This window comes from Homo sapiens, chromosome 20 (genome assembly GCF_000001405.40).
Source record: "Homo sapiens chromosome 20, GRCh38.p14 Primary Assembly".
NCBI classification, from domain to species: domain Eukaryota; kingdom Metazoa; phylum Chordata; class Mammalia; order Primates; family Hominidae; genus Homo; species Homo sapiens.
In genome coordinates, this window is record NC_000020.11 from 24,949,187 (window position 1) to 24,967,254 (window position 18,068).

Below are 18,068 nucleotides of genomic sequence, written 5' to 3' on the forward strand. Positions count from 1 at the left end.
GCCCCTGCCCCATCCCACAGTGGTTTGCAGGGTGGGGTTCCATGCTGTGGCCCTGGCACCTGCCCCTGGGCTGGGACAGCCCACTGTTCCATGCTGCCCAAGAAGGCTCAGCACAGGCACAAACCATTGCCCGGCACTGGCCCGTGCTGCCTGAGAAGGATTGGCACGGGCACAGACCACTGCCCCCACCTGCCCTGCGCCATCTACCCAAGAAGGCTCGGCACGGGCACCAACCACTGCCTCCAACTGCCCCATGCTGCCTGAGAAGGCACTGCACGGCCACCCCCAACTGCCCCGCACTGTCCCTACCCGGGCAGCCATGCGAGCGGCTGGAACTCTGCTGGCCTTCTGCTGCCTGGTCTTGAGCACCACTGGGGGCCCTTCCCCAGGTAAGTGGCGTTCTCCCCTGTCCGCTCCCCGGGGGTCTCTCCCTGAGATTGGCCACTGGTGCCTTGGGTCTTCCCCAGGGCACTTTCCTAGCTTGGAGCCCCCACAGGACCATGCGGTGGTGAGAGGTGCTGGGAGTGGTGAGAGGGGCAAGGGGCTCCATCTGGCTGCAGCTACCTTTGGGGGTAGCAGGCTACAGGGATGAAGGGTTTGGGGGCTGCCCCAGAAGGCTAGGGGCAAGGGAAGCATCTTCTATTCTCTGGCTCTTCACAGAGGTCTGAGAAAGGTCTAAGTAAGGCAGGTCTCCCGCAGCTCCTCTGCGGGACGGAGGCGACAGGGCAGCCACATGCCTGTGGTTAGCCGCTTCTATCTGATGGCTTGTCATTCCTTCCTGCTGGCTGTTGTCCTGTGACTTGGCTCCAGGGACCCTAACGATCAGACTCTTTCACCCTTCCTGAAATCCACTCCCTGAGGGTCAGCACTCAGGGGGAGGGGGGACAGGGAGGAAAGAGCCACTGCCTGTGCACTGGGAAACTGAGACACAGCCAGGCTAGGTGATTTGCCCAAGTCACACAGCCAGGGACAACCTGCTCTCCCCCAAAGGGAACTGGGCCATGGCCTCCCTGGCACAGGAATCAGACCAGGATACTGATGGGGACTTGGGAGGCCCCCACCTCATTTAACCAACCAGGAAGCTGGCACCAGAGGGCTGAGGTGACCCGCTCAAGTCATATGACCCCCACCCAGCAGACAGGGACAGAAGGGGGCTGGAGCCTGGCCAAAGGGGCCCAGGTGGGGGCTGTGCAGCAGGACCACTGACAAGAGGATGGCTCCAGAGCACCCAAGGGGTTCTTGGAGGGTTCTCACCTCCTCCTGGTGAGTCAGGATACTGAGGACTCAGTGATGCTGGGGGACACTGTGTCGAGCTCCCAGGCCTGGCCTAGGGCGGACGCTGCGACTGAGCAGCCAAGGGGACACGGCAGGCTGGAGGAGGGGCCGGGGGCAGCTTCTGCTCTCACTGATGGGAACATGCCACCGCCACCAGCTCTGGGTAGTGCTCAGCGAACATGGAGCTGACCCATGGCTGGCAGAAGGCTGGGGACAGCATACCCGGCCCTGCCTCCCAGCTTGGGAGCCTTCTTAGCTCACGCAAGGAGCCCTCCACCTGCTTCCCAGCCTCACAGGGGCCTCTCCTCCTGGCCCTGTCCTGATGCAGTGCTGCCTGCCTGCTGCCATTCTGTGCCCTGCCCCTTCGTGTCTCCAAGGTCCAAGGGGGAAGCAGGGAAGAGAGGCAAGTTCACTCCAGAGAAGTGGCTCGTTCTCACACCTCAGAAAAGGCTCTCCTGGAGGGGACATGGAGCCAGCTGTCCTAGCGTGTCCTGGGATCTAATTAAACCTACTGACTGCTGAGGGGTTTCAGAGCTCTGCTCATCTCACGGAGCAGGCTAGGGACTATAACAGGGTGGCGTGGGAGCCGATGTGCTGGGCAGCTGGCAACGTCATTTTCCTGGGTGGTGTTCCCGGCCCCTCGCTGGTATGTAATGCTGCACCAAGCCTTTCCCTCCATTCTCAGCAGACCTGCTGTCAGCCACCAAACCCCAGAGAGAAGCTCCAGAGCCCACGTTCACACACACAGAGCGGGCCCTCAGCCTCAGTCCTACCATCCATGAAATGGGAAGATAACTGCACCCCGTCTCCGGCCCTGGGGAGGCTGAACAGAGGTGGCTCGGGGAAGGCACAGGCATGGAGGCACATGGGGCATGGGGTGCTCTCCGCCAGCCTCAGCCCCCTGCTCTGTCTAGTGCAGGCCCTTCTGCCACTGTGCTGGTGACAGCCCCCAGCACCCTGCCCAGGCGCTGTGATCATTTCTGGTGCTTCCAGCAAGGGCCTTCAGTCTTCGGCTGTATAGGGAGGGTGCTGGGAGGCCCCCAGTCTAGCAGCAAAAAAGAGATGGGAACCTGGGCCCCAGACACAAGCATGCGTCCTGCCCCCACTCCACAACTCCTACAGCCCCTCCGCTGCCTCCTCTGAGAATAAATTACAGAGCCTTCCTCATGACTGAGGGGGGTAGGGGGCGGGGAAGCAACAGGGACCCCAAGGGTGGTGCCGTCTGAGCATCTGGCCTCTCTCCACACCCATGCACTGAACTGCACAGACCATAGCGCTGAGCCCCTCAGGGCACCTCTCCTCCCTGAGGCTTTCAGAACCTAGGAAATTGCCACACTGGCTTCCGCCACCCTTTTGAAAAGGGCTGTTTCTTTCTCAATCTGATGGGCATCTCTTCTGGGAAGCTCTGCCAGGTGCCATGTCATCCTCTGCCCCCTCCACTCTAGCTGCAACGGCCCATCTGCCTGGACAGGGGCCCTGGGGTCAGGGAGCCATTTCAGCTTCCCTCTGCAAGGTGATGTCAGTCCTTACTTCCCAGTAGCAGAGAGACCACTTGCAGCCCGGGGACCTCCTGCCTCCTGGGGAGCACTGGGAGCTGCCGCAGGCTGAGCCACCGTCTACGTGGCAAGATTTGTTTTTCCCAATGGGGGCATTCATTTGCCCTGAGACCCCTGCTGTGGCCATGTGCATTTTGATATATTGATAATGATTACAGTTTTGCACATCATTTATTGACAAGTGCTTCGTGTATGTTGCCTCATATATTCTCACTGTCGTCAGCATCCTCATTTTACAGGTGAGGACACGGAGGCTCAGAGAGGTTAGGCAGCTTGCCTGAGATCATACAGCCAGTGAGAAGCAGAGCTGGAATTCAAACTCCGGGTGTGTCCCAGTGGGTTAAGGTCGGGACTGATCTGGTAGAGCTCAGTGTCCTGTCTGTGCCAGGGGCATGTGTGTGCCCTCAAAAGATAGACTCCGCCATTAGCCATCAGGCAGAGACCCAAGAGCACAGCGGGCAGGTGTGGCCCCAAGGACCCAGGCTCTCTGAATTTTGATGGTGTCATGTGAGAGGGCTTGGGGTGAAGCGTCTCCAGGTGGGCAGAGTGAACACCAGCACCTCTAAGCTGGACTTGCACCCCCCCAACACCCCAGTGCTCAGGCACAGCCATGCAGACCTTATGCTCTGGGTGATGGGGGCCGATGGGGCCCCTCTCAAAGGGTCTCCCCACCCAGCTCAGTACTGGCCCATGGAAAGGGCACCCCCTGAGGTGACACAGGGAGGGACACCAGCAGGGACCATCTGCGTCCAGCTCTCGGCACCCAGGTCCCCATCTCAGGGATGGTTTCACAAGCAGGGGCTTCCCAACCTCCCGGCCACACCTAGAACACTCCTGAAAGAGGGAGGAGGTGGGCAATGCCAGCCCCCGCTGTGCCCACCCATTTTCCTACTAAAGGCAGGTGGGAAGGGTCTGCCTGGTGCCACCACAGCGATCCCTGCCCATGTTTTCTCTCCTCAGGTTGGCTTAGTGCCAGCTCTGCCACTGGGCCTATGCTCTGAGGACAGGAACGTACCCTGCCCAGGGCATGCCCAGCAGCTGTCAGAAACTGCAGCTCCCTGCTGCCTTGGGCAGAGGCCCTGGCAACTCCCCTGGCCTGGCAGCTTCACATCTGCACCCCATTGCACACTGGTCCTCGGGCACCCGGACAGGACTTTGCCCCATGCACACAGCCAGTAGATGCTCAGAAACACGGGGCTGCAGCAGAAAAGCAGGGTGATCGCAGGATCACCAGACAAGGAGATGGAGGAAACTCAAATCCATCTCCCCGAGGAGGCTGGGGCCCGGGTTTTTAAGGGTTCTGGAGCTCGATAGCTGGAAGGGGCAGCGTGATGTCACAGCACAGGGAGAGGAAGAAGCTGTATTTTCGTGATGATCCTGTTCCTCCGTGGGGGGTTTCCAAACTGGTTGCTGGAATTGGGATCTGAAAAACATCTTGGGCCAGCAGCAGCCTGATTCAAGCTTAATTATGAGTATCTTTCTGTCCAGAACCTGGCATGCAATTCTTGTCAACCTTAGGGGACAGTTTCATTTGCCTTCCTGTGACCATGTGTCCTGGGGCCTGCTCAGCACCTGGTATCATCAGGCCCTGCCCGCCCCTGCCTCACCTCCAGCTTCTACGTCTGGAAGCTCCCTACCTGTCTCAGGCATGGCCCACCTCCCCTCCCACCCCGCATTAGAAGCAGTGGTGGGCTGGGGTCAGGCTGCCCCGGCAGGCTCCTGGTGCGAGCCTCGCACATGGCAGGTCCCCCATTCCCCTCGAGCAGGCCTGGCCTGCCCCAGGCATTGTTTCTATACAGACGGATTTTATGTGCCTTTTGTTTCTTCTCACAAGCCTGACGGTCCGTGGGTTCTTTCCGTTGACGTCATCGCGGCCATCACCACCATCACCCTCTGCACCCAGCAGCAGCCTCCAGCGGGGTCTCCCCAACTCTTCCCAGCACGTAGCTCCCTCCTCCCCTAGGCCAGTTCAGCCACCTTGCAGCTGCTCCCCCATCCCCTGCCCCTCTGCTCACCCATTTTACCCTCAGGTTGGTGTCCTCTCCTGTGCCCCAGGCCTGCTCTGCCTCCCCACCACTGTGGGCGGGGCCTGTCTTAGAGTCCACCCTGCATCTCCCCTAGCACCTGCCAAACAGTCCGTCTTGAATGAGGAAAAAGTGAGAGTGGTGTTTCGAATTAGTCACACCTGGGTTTAGCCCCCCACCCTGCACTCCAAGCTCTTGGTCTCCTCGCCTGCAGAATGGGCACACATGAGAAGAAACAGCATCGCAGGGCCCTCCAGACAGAGCAGGCAGAGGAGGAGAGCACCCATTCTCCCGCTCCCTGCCTTCAGTTGCACGGAGCAAACCCAGAGCCCCCTCCCTGGGGGGTCCTCTTCACAGTTCCTTGACTCCATCGGAGGCTCTCAAAGAGCTGCATTCGCTCACCACCTGCTGGACTGCTTGTTTTCTTCCCTGAAGATGAGTGGCCTCTTTGGGGTGTTAATTCTTAATGATCAACATTTCCTTGTTAATTTCTCTAAACAAATCATCCTAAAAATAGGTTTGACTTTTAAACAATTTTAAATTAAAAACTGAGCTTTTAATATCTGTTTAGACAACTGTAAGACAGTGAAAGGTTTATTGACTTGAAGCCTACATTTTAGGAAACATGTAGTTAAATAAAAAATACCAATTTCAGTATTTTTCATAACCTTTTTGTAACTTTACCACAATCTTTTAGGAACTAACGTCATGAGCTTGGAAGGGAAATTTATTTGAAGTTCAGCGTAAACTGAGTTTCACTTCATTTTTAAAATTCTGTTAATCTCAAGCAAAAGTAAATACATTTTATTTTTTAAAAAAGTTAATAGTGGTTAGCTTTAAGATATTAAAAATAATTATTTTTTGTTATGCTCCTCTGTATTTTTCAAATTTCTACCAAAAATAGGTAAGTTTATAGTCAGAAAAAGCCATAAAATGTAGTTTTTACAAAGAAAACAATGGACAGCCATATTAATGTAATGTGAGGAAAGAAAGCAAAACAACAACAACAACAACAAAAAAAAACGCTAATCTGACAGCAAAAATACACTGAACACATGCTACCCCTTCCATACACGTGTCTCTTTCTCTGCTGTTCAGATGACAGTGATGAGCTGAAACCAAGCTGGTTTCCAGAACAGTTTTTTGTTTTAACTAAAAGCCACATTCAACTTCCTGTCATCAACAAGCACAAGGACCAGAAGGAGCTGCCTTTGGCTCTGGGGACCCCTCCTTCCTGATGGTAACACTGCAGGTCCCAAGGGACCCCTCACTGCCAACACCAGTGTCAGAGTCACCTGAGAGCCTGGGGAAATGCAGGTTCCAGGACCTCCCCTAGATGGCCAAGCTCAGCCCCTGGTGCTCAGGAACAGAGCGGTTTCTATTCCATCTTCAGAGGCCTAAAGTCTTTTTTTTTTTTTTTTTTTCTGAGACGGAGTCTCGCTCTGTTGCCCAGGCTGGAGTGCAGTGGCGCGATCTCGGCTCACTGCAAGCTCCGCCTCCCGGGTTCACGCCATTCTCCTGCCTCATCCTCCCGAGTACCTGGGACTACAGGTGCCCGCCACCATGTCCAGCTAATTTTTTGTATTTTTAGTAGAGACCAGGTTTCACCGTGTTTGCCAGGATGGCCTCGATCTCCTGACCTCGTGATCTGCCCGCCTCGGCCTCCCAAAGTGCTGGGATTACAGACGTGAGCCACCTAAAGTCTTCTTAAGCAAAGGCTGCAGCAGTTTCAGGGGGGATGTGTGTGACACTAATTAGTGTGAAGGACAGTCCCAGGGCATGCCAGCGCAGGACACAGCTATCCACCAGCACACAGGACCAGCACGTGGCCAGCATTCTCTATGGGGTGGGGCACCAGCACTGCGCTGCTTTTTTGGGATGGAAGGCCAGGCTCCCTGGGCTGCTAAAGCACAAGGCAGGCACAGTCATCCAAAGCCCAGCCATGAAGCTCACCTTCTGGCCCAGAACCAACCACGGGACAGCCATTTGCCAGGTGGCCTCCCTTCACAATGGAGACTCTTTACCGGGATGGGGCGACAATCCCAAGGCCACAGAACTTCCAGTCCCATGCTTCTCTGCCCACTCCCGGCGCTGCACCACCCAGCCTGGGGGTGCCACGTGGTGACCAGAAACCTCGTCATCCTGTCTACCCTTGGTGGGGTCTGGTGTGCACCCACAGACATCCAGGACCCAGGAAAGGCCTCTTGCAGACCTCACACAGCAGTGGGAATGGCCTCCTCTGGGGCCCTCGCTCTGAGTTGACACTGACGTCCTGGCAAGGCCTCCCTGCAGTGCCCAGCTATGAAGCCTGTCCCCTCCCATTCCCCAATCACCCTGCCCTCAACACCCTGGGGCCCAGCTTTCCATCCAGTCCATAGCAGGCACAAAGACGCACGTCCTGCAGCCTCAGGCACAGATACTAGGGGACATGACTGTGGGGGAGGCCCCCGATGCTGCTTCCCCATCTTTTATCCAAATATAGCCCTCCTTGGTACAGGAAGGGCAGGCCTCCCCGACCCCAACGAAGCTTGGGGACACAGTGCACTGTCACTCATAGGAGTGAAAAAGACTGTCCCTGGAAAGTCAGGAGGCAGCGCAGGGGTACCAAGTGCTGCAGGCTGCCAGGAGGGGTGCCCTCCTGGGGGCTGGGCCTGAGACTGAGAGCCAGGCGGGCAAAAGGTCTTGAGACGAGGACGGCGCCATCTCCTTCCGGTGGGAGGCACTACCTCCATCTACCGCCCAGAGGGCCAGGCTGGGGTTGACTTTCCCTACATCCTAAGGCTACATCCCGTACTGAGGATCTCACCTGTGGGACATGTTCCGCTTTTAACACTTACGTTGGAAATAACCCTGGGTTCTGAAAGTGGGGGACAGGTTCATTGCACCCCCTGGCACCTGGTCCTCAGCTCTGAAAATGGAGCAATAAATGCACTGCAGGGGTGTCGGGGGGGACAGGTGAGGGGGCAGGTGAGGGGGGCAGGTGAGGGGAGCAGGTGAGAGGGGGCAGGTGAGGGAGAACAGGTGAGGGGGCAGGTGAGGGGGGCAGGTTAGGGGTGGGTAGGGTGGGGGCAGGTAAGCAGGGACAGGTGACAGGGGTAGGTAAGAGGGGGAGCAGGTGAGGGGTGGGTAGGGCCAGGACACACACGCCAGCAGAGAACTGAGCATCACAGAGGCATGAGGCGTGACACCTGGACTGAAGGCCCCACTAACATCAGTGTTCTTGTCTGGCTCTTTGTCTCTTTCAGATACTTGTTCCCAGGACCTTAACTCACGTGTGAAGCCAGGATTTCCTAAAACAATAAAGACCAATGACCCAGGAGTCCTCCAAGCAGCCAGATACAGTGTTGAAAAGTTCAACAACTGCACGAACGACATGTTCTTGTTCAAGGAGTCCCGCATCACAAGGGCCCTAGTTCAGGTAACGGTCTGGGTTCTGGTCACATATCACGGACACCCCTAGGAAGCCGAGCTGCTACAACGCGACACCTAGGAGAGCAGGGCGGATATAATGTGAAGTCCCTGCTGAGTGCAGAGCTCTGAGCAGAAAGCAGATGCACAAGGGGTGGGAGTGGACAGCAGCAGCTGAGGCCAGCATCCCCCAGGGCCAAGCGCAAAGGTTACACAAAGCACACGGCTCCTGGGTGGTTACCAGGCCCCTGGCCCAGAGCCTACTAGGCATGGGGTAAGGAGGTGCCAGGGCCCTAATGGGGCTCCTGAGGCAGGCGCCAAGGCTGATGGGGGAGAAAGCCGCTGTCCGAGGAGCTGCCCCTGCTGGGACCAGGGTCCTCACCCGGCCTCACCCCTCACGTGCCCTGCAGCCCAGAGGTGTCTTTGCCACTTTCCCCCTGGAGTGCTCACTCACATCCCAGAGTCCAAGAGCTCTGCCCAAGCCACTGCCCTTTCCCTGACTCATTCCTACTGCGCCCGCTCAGCACCCTCCCTCCTAGAGGACCCTTGTCTGTGTCCTGAGAACACCCACTTGCTAATGTGGGATGCAGGCTGTGGATGACACCCACCACCGTGTGCTGGTGCCTGTAAGGGGCAGAAGCAGCCCTGTCCAAGGCAGTCTTCACAGTGTTCATGGTTATGCTGGGTCACAGGGAGGGGTGATTTTTATAACCTAATTATTTTTGACAATTGCAAACTTGTGAAGGACAGCATGTTTTCATATGAGAATCGTGGGTGTGTAGCCAGGGTCCTCGCTCTGCAGCCTGGCCTCAGGGACAGGGGATCTTCCCTGGGTGATGCAGGCCCTCCCTCCTTCTCCGGGTAGGCCAGTGGGATGCCCTGGTTCTGAGTCCTTGGGGTTCTCTGGGAGGGGACTTGGAGGTTGTCTCTCTCTAGCTTGGTGATATTGGGGACAACGTAATTCCCCTAAAGCTGAGACTAAAACCTGAGGAATTTTTCTTCAACTCCTCTAAGACCACAAATGAGAATGAACAAGGCGGCTGCCATATCCAAGTGGAGAAGGGCTGTCCAGAAACTCAAAACTCCCGACCCCAGGAATGGAGAGGGGAAGCCCGCAGACCCCAGGCCTGACACAGAGGCCACAAGAAACAGCCATCATGGGGCTGGAGTGAGGGCTGCAGGGCGGGCCCAGCAGGGCATGCAGGAGACCTAGTGTGACGTCCCTCCTGAGTGCAGAGCTCTGGCCAGAAAGGAGACATCTGTCTCAGGAAGGGGCACAAACCCAGCACGGGGCAGGGAGGGGAGTGGGAGGGGTCTGCAGGCTCTGCCGTAAGCCCGAAGCATTGCCCCAAGATGCTGGCCCACTTCCCTTCTCCTCGGTGGGCACCTGCACCACTGTCTTGAGGCCCTGCTTCCTAGTGGAGAAGCCTGCCCTCCCTCCCCTGTGCCCAGTAACCCAGTCCCTTTGCTCCCTCCAGATAGTGAAAGGCCTGAAATATATGCTGGAGGTGGAAATTGGCAGAACTACCTGCAAGAAAAACCAGCACCTGCGTCTGGATGACTGTGACTTCCAAACCAACCACACCTTGAAGCAGGTAAAGCAGCAGGCCCTTCTCTCAGATGTGCCCTCTCTTCCCCAGCCCACTCCCTCCCAGGACTGTGAAAAACACCGTCACCACGTCTCTAACGCAGCGCCCCAAACCTCACCCCTGAGGAAGCCAGGCCTCCCAGACTCCCGCACGACTGAGGATCCGGGAGAACAGGAGGTAGAGCCTGTGCCAGGAGCTCCTCAGATGACATCCTCCCGTCCCAGAGGCGGAGACACAGCTCTGGAAGAGCGTCCTGGGGTGCGAGTGGAGAGGGTTAGAGTAAGAAAAGCTTTCAAACAATCCAGAAATTATATATGTATCATATACATACATATGATATGTATCATATGTATATCATATATAGCATATCTCTGCAGAGAGAGCAAGAGAACGGGAACACAGCAACATTTAGCAATTACAGAGGTGAAAAGCACATTTTCTTAAATCGTTCTTTCAAGTTTTCTGTAGGTTTGAAATTTTTCAAAATGAAAAATAGGGGCAGGAGAAGAGCTCCTCCATGAGGACCACCCCTCCACGGGCAGAGGGCTCCCCGCAGGGAAAGTCTAAGCTCTCAGGTGTGCCCTTCTCTGTTTCAGACTCTGAGCTGCTACTCTGAAGTCTGGGTCGTGCCCTGGCTCCAGCACTTCGAGGTGCCTGTTCTCCGTTGTCACTGACCCCCGCCTCTTCAGCAAGACCACAGCCATGACAAACACCAGGATGCATGCTCCTTGTCCCCTCCCACCCGCCTCATGACCCAGCCTCACAGACCCTCTCAGGCCTCTGACGAGTGAGCGGGTGAAGTGCCACTGGGTCACCGCAGGGCAGCTGGAATGGCAGCATGGTAGCACCTCCTAACAGATTAAATAGATCACATTTGCTTCTAAAATTAACTCCTGTTTCTGAGGCTTCCCACCTAGATTCCGGGTCTGGGTGCAGGGGACTGAGTCAATGGAGGGAGTTGTGAAACTAAGGGATGATCCCCTGTGGCTACAGGCCCCCAGGAGAGCAGGGGTACAGCTCTGGGTCTGAATAATCAGCAGAGATGTGGGTGGGGACACTGTTGGCCACTGGGCGCCTTGGCCGGTTGTGATGAACACAACTGGGAATCAAGATGAACAGCCAGCAGCAGCCATGCCGGCCCTTTTACGGGAGAGTCGGGAGGTGAGGCAAGCCTTACCAGGGATCTCCCTTACCAAGGGGTCTGACAAGTTGAAGTTACTTCCTCTGGGGGGCTGGCCAGCCTGAGCTGCTAGCTATAACCCCCCGAAGGCCAAAGCCCCAGAACAGGTGAGCTGTCCGCACCAGGAGGAGCAGGGCCACAACTGTGCCTCCCTGAGTTTCAGGCCTCCCAGGGACTTGCCCTGCTGCCTGAGTGGGGGCAGAGCAGCAGACCGCTCCCCAGAGCCCTCCAGAGAGGACGCCCCACTGAAGATGACTCTGTTGGGGGTGCACGAGGAGGGAGAGGCCACCGAGGGCTGGAGGGCACCAGGATTGGAAGAAGACTGGAAGAAGTGCCAGACTGGGCTACCTTGAGCCCTGGGCGCCCCAGAGGACTCTGCTGTGCAGCCAAGGCTCGAGTCAGTGCCCTGCCATGATCCACAGGCTGCAGGGGCCACTGCCCAGTCAGGCACTGTCACCCTTGCTCCCAGCTTCACCTGCGCTTTCTCCAGTCACATCCCTGGGAGGCTGGCTCGGCTGTGCCAGCTGTGACTCTGGCAGTCACTAACCTAACCCCTTGGAGCCTCAGTTCCCATTGGTGCAATGAGGCCATGTCTTCTGGAATCATTAAGAGTCAGCGTATGTGAACAACTTTCAGAACTACAGGCCACTCTGCAAGTGTAGTAAGCTGATGATAAAAATCTCAAACTGATATCTCTGTCCTATGAAACGTAATAGCTGAATCTTGATGGAGTTTCTGTAAGGGATAACAGAGGCACATAATGAGTCACCTGATTAAGAGCATGTTAGTAATTCAGGTTAGAACGAATCCCTTTTATGTTTACAGCAAAAGCTATCACATATTTAAACCTAATAAGAAGACTCTATTTCACACCTCACCATGTCAAATTACCAGATAAAACACAGGAAATGACACTTGGAGACAGAAAATCAACAGCTAAGTCAACATCAAGACTCCATTGCTAAAAACTGTGAAAACCAGTTTGCCAGCTTCTCTATATTTGTGAAAATTAAGCACTGAAAGCAAAGCTCTCTGTTCTCAATTTAAAAAGGGAATCTACCTATAAGCCCAGCACATTTAAATTGTTTGTATGACAGAATGATTAGGTATTATTTTCTTTGTATACTTGACATACAAGGCACATCATTTATTACTAAAAGTATTTCTAATGACCACTAATTTTCTTTCCTATAGAGTCACACAAAAAACTTTGAGTTGTTTATCTGACACAATGTGGGTCACACCAATTAGACAGAAGCCAATCTTTGCCTCTGTCCTACTGGTGCTGCCTCCAGGAGCCAGCCTTGAGAAGCGGGGACACTCCCGACTCTCTACCCCCAACACGGGGCCTGACCAGCCCTGGGGGAATTAACCATCAGACTCCCAACTCTCTTCCCCCAATATGGGGCCTGACCAGCACTGGCGGAATTAACCATCAGACTCCCAACTCTCTTCCCCCAATATGGGGCCTGGCCAGCGCTGGAGGAATTGACCATCAGAATCCCAACTCTCTTCCCACAACACGGGGCCTGACCAGCGCTGGGAGAAATTAACCATCAGACCCCCGACTCTCTTCCCAACACGGGGCTTGGCCAGAGCTGGGGGAATTAACTATTGGACTCCCAACTCTCTTCCCCTAACATGAGGCCTGGCCAGCGCTGGGAGAATTAAACATCAGACTCCCGATTCTCTTCCCCTAACATGGGGCCTGACCAGCACTGGGGGAATTAACCAACAGACTCCCGACTCTCTTCCCCTAACATGAGGCCTGGCCAGAGCTGGGGGAATTAACTGTCAGACCCCCGACTCTCTTCTCCCGACACAGGGCATGACCAGCGCCGGGGGGAATTAACCATCAGACTCCCGACTCTCTTCCCAACATGGGGCTTGGCCAGAGCTGGGGGAATTTACTATCGGACTCCCGACTCTCTTCCCCTAACATGAGGCCTGGCCAGCGCTGGGAGAATTAAACATCAGACTCCCAACTCTCTTCCCCCAACATGGGGCCTGACTAGCACTGGGGGAATTAACCATCAGACTCCCGACTCTCTTCCCCCAACAAGGGGCCTGACCAGAGCTGGGGGAATCAACTACCAGACTTCCGACTCTCTTCCCCCAACATGGGGCCTGACCAGCACTGGGGGAATTAACCATCAGACTCCCAACTCTCTTCCCCCAACAGGGCCTGGCCACCACTCAGGGGAAAGGAGGACACAGGAGTCCAAGGCCAGCCAGTGCACACAGATGGTCCCAATGTTACCACAGCTATCAGTTCTCTGAATTTTTGTATCATTACATATTTATCTGATTTTTTTCTGACTTTGATATCTATTTAAAATACTGTCTGTGAAGTTATTCCAAACATCTTTGGAGACACAATCTCTTGTTACTCTCACAAATACCCAGGAAAGAAAGGAACAGATGTCAGCCCCATTTCGTAGGCTGGAAAACAGGAGGGAAGTGTAATATCAACTTACGCCAGAGGGAGTCGGCATCAAGAGCAGATGGTCTAAGGTCGCCTGCTCCTTGCCTGAAGACGGCTGCCTGAGAGAAGTCCCACAGCTTCCCTCCTGAGCTAGTCGGATGGACTGTTTGGCCTTAAAACATCATCCTCACCAAGACAATCCTTACATTGACACCTGATGGAATTAAATTTCAGTACTGTTAATTAAAGTAGAGAAGAAACTCCCAGGCCACACCATCAAAAAAGGTTAATCAGCAGAAGTCGATTTATCGTTATTTATTATCAAAATCATGACCAGTGTGTAGACATACTTGTGAAAATATACAGCAACTTGGGGCTTATAACACATGAGCAAAGATGACATTAACACGTGCACTGTTCACATCTTGGGGTCTAGAGGTCAAGAACAAAGATCACAGACAAGACGTTACTAAACGGACCCCTGCAGTAGGTCCCGAATTGCAGAATCATCCAATTCCAGCATGGTCAGCACGGAGATATTCACAGAAAGAAACCCAGCAAAGTCCTCTCTGAGCCGCTAGAGTCAACAAGCTTTTCATACACACTATGGAGAGCCCACGCCCCACATAACCCTTGAGAACACAGTTCCATGTCTTGGCTAACACGGCTCTCACCGCTGGCCTCAACACCCCTGGGCCATGCTCCCTCTGCTCTTCCATCCCCACCACAACGAAGAAAGGTATGACCGCACGTTATATATAGTAAAGAAGAACTTTGAGGCCGCAGGACAGGGCCGCAGCAGCAAGCTCTCTGGGTAGTGCCTTACTGCTCCACCCACCTGAGCCCTGTTCCAAGTGCAAGGAGCTTCCCAAATCCTAGAGAATGACTGTACTTAGAAAGTTTTGTTTTGTTTAAGAGAAAATGGCTTTACATGAATTTATGTTCCTCATGGCAGATATGTTACACTTCCCTCTAAACAGAAAGACAAGCCCAGGTGGGGCCCGGGCATCCTCGAGGAATGAAGCAGCCATTCCCACCACCTCTCAGGGACTAACAGGTGCATGTGGACACTTGAACCACGACTGTGTCCACAGCTCCTCCTGGACCAGGCCTGGTGCCTGAGTGTGAAGACTCCTGGCCTGCGTGGCAGGGGCAGCTATCTGGGAGGGCTAAACAGCCTGGAGGCTGAGTCTGCAGAGGAAGGGGGACCTGAAAGAGCCCAGGTACAGGTGCCCATCGTGTTCGTGCACCTCGCTGATGTAGGTGGCCACCAGCCCATCGGGATCATGCAGGCTTCTCCGGAAGGCACCGCTGTCGCTGAGTTCTAGGACGAGGCTGTACCGCGGCACAAACTTCATCACCGTCTCTTGACTAAAGAGCTAGAGGGAAGCACAGTGCAGGGAAAGTTCACCAGCTGGCCAAGAACACTGTGCGCAGATCAACCGTGCCGCCCCCACCATCCAGGAACGGTCTGACTCCTTCCCATGACAGGGCAGCCCCACAGGGCAGTGCCCCACAGGACAGCTAATCCAGCTCCCACTCCCAGCCCAGGGGCCCCAAAGCAGGCCCCACCCCACCCCTGTCCCTGTGAAGATCAGGCCAAAGAGGCTCCCCAGCACAAGGACAGCAACGCAAGCACATCTCTGGATGGCCTGGCTGAACTGAGAGAGACATATCACATCCGACGTGGTCACAGCACTGCAGCCAAGGCTCAGAATGACCTCCACTCACCAGATCACAACCAGCGCAGCTTCCCTGGAATACACAAGTCTTCTGTTTAGATTTAAAACATTTCAAATAGGCAAGGTGCAAATGATGGAGATTTGAGAGCAGCTCACATTCAAAAAAAGCAAGCAGGTCCACAGACCACACAACATGGCTTCCAAAACAAAAAGCAAAATCCCACTGCTTTCCTCAAAGCGGGGCGTGCAGATCCTGAGGGACGCCTACAGGGACGGAGGCAAAAGAGCTTAGACCTGGACTCTGTGGTCACACGGGACTGTTGAAGAGTATTAAGCAGAGAACAGATGGCGAGAGGCGTGATTTCTGGCAGAGCAGAAGGACACCTGGTCGGAAATTATGACAAAGCACTCCACTGCCTAAGACCAAGGAATGGAAATTAACAGACAGATTTCTAGCTTTTAATACAAGGGAAAATACCCAAACAAGTGTCCAACGAATAATGTCTCCCAGTCACTGGAAATGTTCAAGCAGACAGACAAGCTGACTAGACTCTAGGTTCAACAGCGATAGATCAACTGCATTACAGCTCAAAAAATTCCCAAGGCTTCCCACTACCTAGGAAATGCCATCTCCTGCTGTTCGGCCGTGGATCCTTCCCACTCTCCTCTCTTCTCTCTTCCCCCTAAGAGATCTCATCCTCTCTCACTATTACAACTAGTCACTTTCCCAGAAAGCTCTCAAATCGCCATCTCCAACACCAGTGCTAAGTTTCTCACTGTCTGGGACCCATGTCTGCCTGGCCTTTCTAATAGCACTTCAAATTCAACAGCCTCCCCAGCTCTGGAGACAGGGCCAGGACCCCAGCCTTCCCTTGATCCCAGTCTCTCTGTGCCCTACAAGCCCAGCTGCCAGTCTTGCCATCTGTTGTGTGTGTCCCTGGCCTGGGCCCTGCCCTGCCGCCTCTCCCCAGTCACTGAGACAGCTTCCACACAGGCTCCCACAGCCAGCTGAGCCCTGCTGCAAGCTGTTCTCCTTGCAGTAGCTGCAGTTCTCTTTAAAAACATTCTTTGTACTACATCACTCCCCTCCTAAACAACTCCATCAGGAGCATGGGGCTGAGCAGGGTACATGTGTGCAGGGGATGGCAGACCATGGTGACCCAGACAAGCCCACTCCGCTTGGGTGAGGAGGTGTCCCTGCAGGGGAGTGGCCTGGCACGGGCTGTCAGGGCCCACACGGGGTGAGGAGGTGTCCCCACAGTGAGGCCCAGATCAGGCTGTGAGAGCCCATGCAAGTGAGGAGGTGTACACCCAGGGACAGCCCGGTGCAGGGATCACAGCCCTTGAGGCGAAAGGCAGCCTCCAGCACATGGTCAGGGAGGAAGGGGACAGCCCAGCATGGGGTGCTACAGCCCTGGATGGGGCCATGTGACAGGGCACAGCAACCACAGATTGGTCACATGCACAGAAAATGGTTGAACAGGTAAACCTAGGGAGGACAATGGGATCCAGGTTTCTCACTGTTGGAGAGGTACAAATAGGGGGAAAAATAAGGGGAGAAAACTTGGATCAGTCCTGTGGTGTTGTCATGGTTTTCAATTTACAGATGACAGATGCAGGCATAAGCGTGAGTGGTGTGTGTGTGTGATGTCTACGCGTGCAGGTATATGTGAGTATGCATCGTGTGCTTGTACTCCCAGCGTTGTCCCTTAGGGACCTGGGAGCAGCGACACCCAAAGCAGCGAGTACACTCAGCACCCAGATCTCCTCCACAAGGAACCAGGGCTCCTGGGAGAAATGGCCGATTGCAGAGCTGAAGCAGGGACAATACAAGAGGAAACTGGAACGACTTATGTGCTGGAAAGTGAGGAGCTAGCCCAAGACAAGAGGACATGCCCAAAGGCCCAGAAGCCACACTGAAGGGGCTCCTCCTGGCCACAGATGGGTAATTTGAGCATCAAAATCAATGATGACTGTAACATAATCACCATTAAGAACATGGGAAACCATAAGATGGCACTGGTGATTACTTACAAAAACCACCTCTCTGCGAGCAACTCAGTAATTAGACATGAAAGAACCACGTCCAGGTGGAGACACCTGGCATTCCCTGCCTGAATCAGGTGGCCAAAGTTGCCACCACCCCAACAGAGCAAACTGGTATCGCGCCCTCATGACAGCCGCGCCAAGATGAGCACAGCTTCACTGCTGCGCCACTGCTGCCAACGATGCGAGAGCAGAATCTAAATATGAAAAACAAACCCTACTGGAGGGACATTCTGGGACACAGCTGACCTGTACGCTTTCAAAGGATCAAGGCCAAAAATTCAAAAAAAGACAGGAGCTGAATATCCCCCAGACTGAAGGAGATTAAACAGCTGACAACTAAACACCACTCCTGATCCTGGGTTGAATCATTTGTTATAAAGGACAACACCGGGACAACTGGCAAAATCTGAATGGGGCCTGCAGACCGGACAGTCACAGGGGAGCTGTGGGCATCTCCTGGTTTCACTCAGTGGTAATGAAGGAGAATGTGCCAAACACATGCTCAGGCATCTGCAGTGAGTGACAGGGCATTAGGCCAGCCGCTAACTCGGAAACAGTGCTGGGAAAAAAATCCCTTGTACCCTCCCTCTTTCCACAGCTTTGATACTGCCTCGAAATTAAAAAAAGAAAAAAATCAGGCCGGGCATGGTGGCTCACGCTTGTAATCCCAGAACTTTGGGAGGCTGAGACGGGTGGATTACTTGAGGTCAGGCGTTCGAGACCAGCCTGGCCAACATGGTGAAAACTCGTCTCTATTAAAAATACAAAAAATTAGCCAAGCGTGGTGGTACACACCTGTAGTCCCAGCTAGTCAGGAGGCTGAGGCAGGAGAATCACTTGAGCCCAGGAGGCAGAGGTTGCAGTGAGCCGAGATCACGCC

At 54.5% G+C, this 18,068-nt stretch overlaps 2 protein-coding genes across 3 annotated transcripts in view, besides 1 other annotated feature; one reads left to right on the plus strand and one right to left on the minus strand.

Annotated features, from left to right (window-relative positions):
- The first annotated feature begins 82 nt into the window (after positions 1 to 82).
- On the plus strand, positions 83 to 10,742 carry CST7 (cystatin F). Its single transcript, NM_003650.4, has 4 exons — positions 83 to 389; positions 8,101 to 8,273; positions 9,742 to 9,858; positions 10,449 to 10,742. The coding sequence occupies exons 1-4, from the start codon at positions 320 to 322 to the stop codon at positions 10,524 to 10,526; spliced, it is 438 nt and encodes a 145-aa protein (NP_003641.3). The 5' UTR covers positions 83 to 319; the 3' UTR covers positions 10,527 to 10,742.
- Positions 6,062 to 6,191: an enhancer, noted in NCBI's record as "active region_17653". NCBI's record gives its function as "activates an Ori minimal core promoter by ATAC-STARR-seq in GM12878 lymphoblastoid cells {active_cell/tissue: GM12878}" and the evidence as "EXISTENCE:reporter gene assay evidence [ECO:0000049][PMID:35858748]".
- A 2,996-nt stretch (positions 10,743 to 13,738) lies between the features above and the next one.
- APMAP (adipocyte plasma membrane associated protein) overlaps positions 13,739 to 18,068 on the minus strand; it is a 29,827-nt gene continuing 25,497 nt past the window's right edge. For both annotated transcript variants that reach the window (XM_005260763.4, NM_020531.3), the window contains one exon: positions 13,739 to 14,836. In XM_005260763.4, the coding sequence (XP_005260820.1) occupies positions 14,815 to 14,836 (22 nt within the window). In that variant the 3' untranslated portion in view covers positions 13,739 to 14,814. The remainder of the gene's footprint in view (positions 14,837 to 18,068) is intronic.

Excerpts from the sequence above, each read along its gene's own strand:
- CST7 (NM_003650.4), top strand. The coding sequence starts at position 320 with ATGCGAGCGGCTGGAACTCTGCTGGCCTTCTGCTGCCTGGTCTTGAGC. Across the intron at positions 390-8,100 it reads CACTGGGGGCCCTTCCCCAG|ATACTTGTTCCCAGGACCTT; the intron begins GTAAGTGGCGTT and ends TGTCTCTTTCAG. Across the intron at positions 8,274-9,741 it reads TCACAAGGGCCCTAGTTCAG|ATAGTGAAAGGCCTGAAATA; the intron begins GTAACGGTCTGG and ends TGCTCCCTCCAG.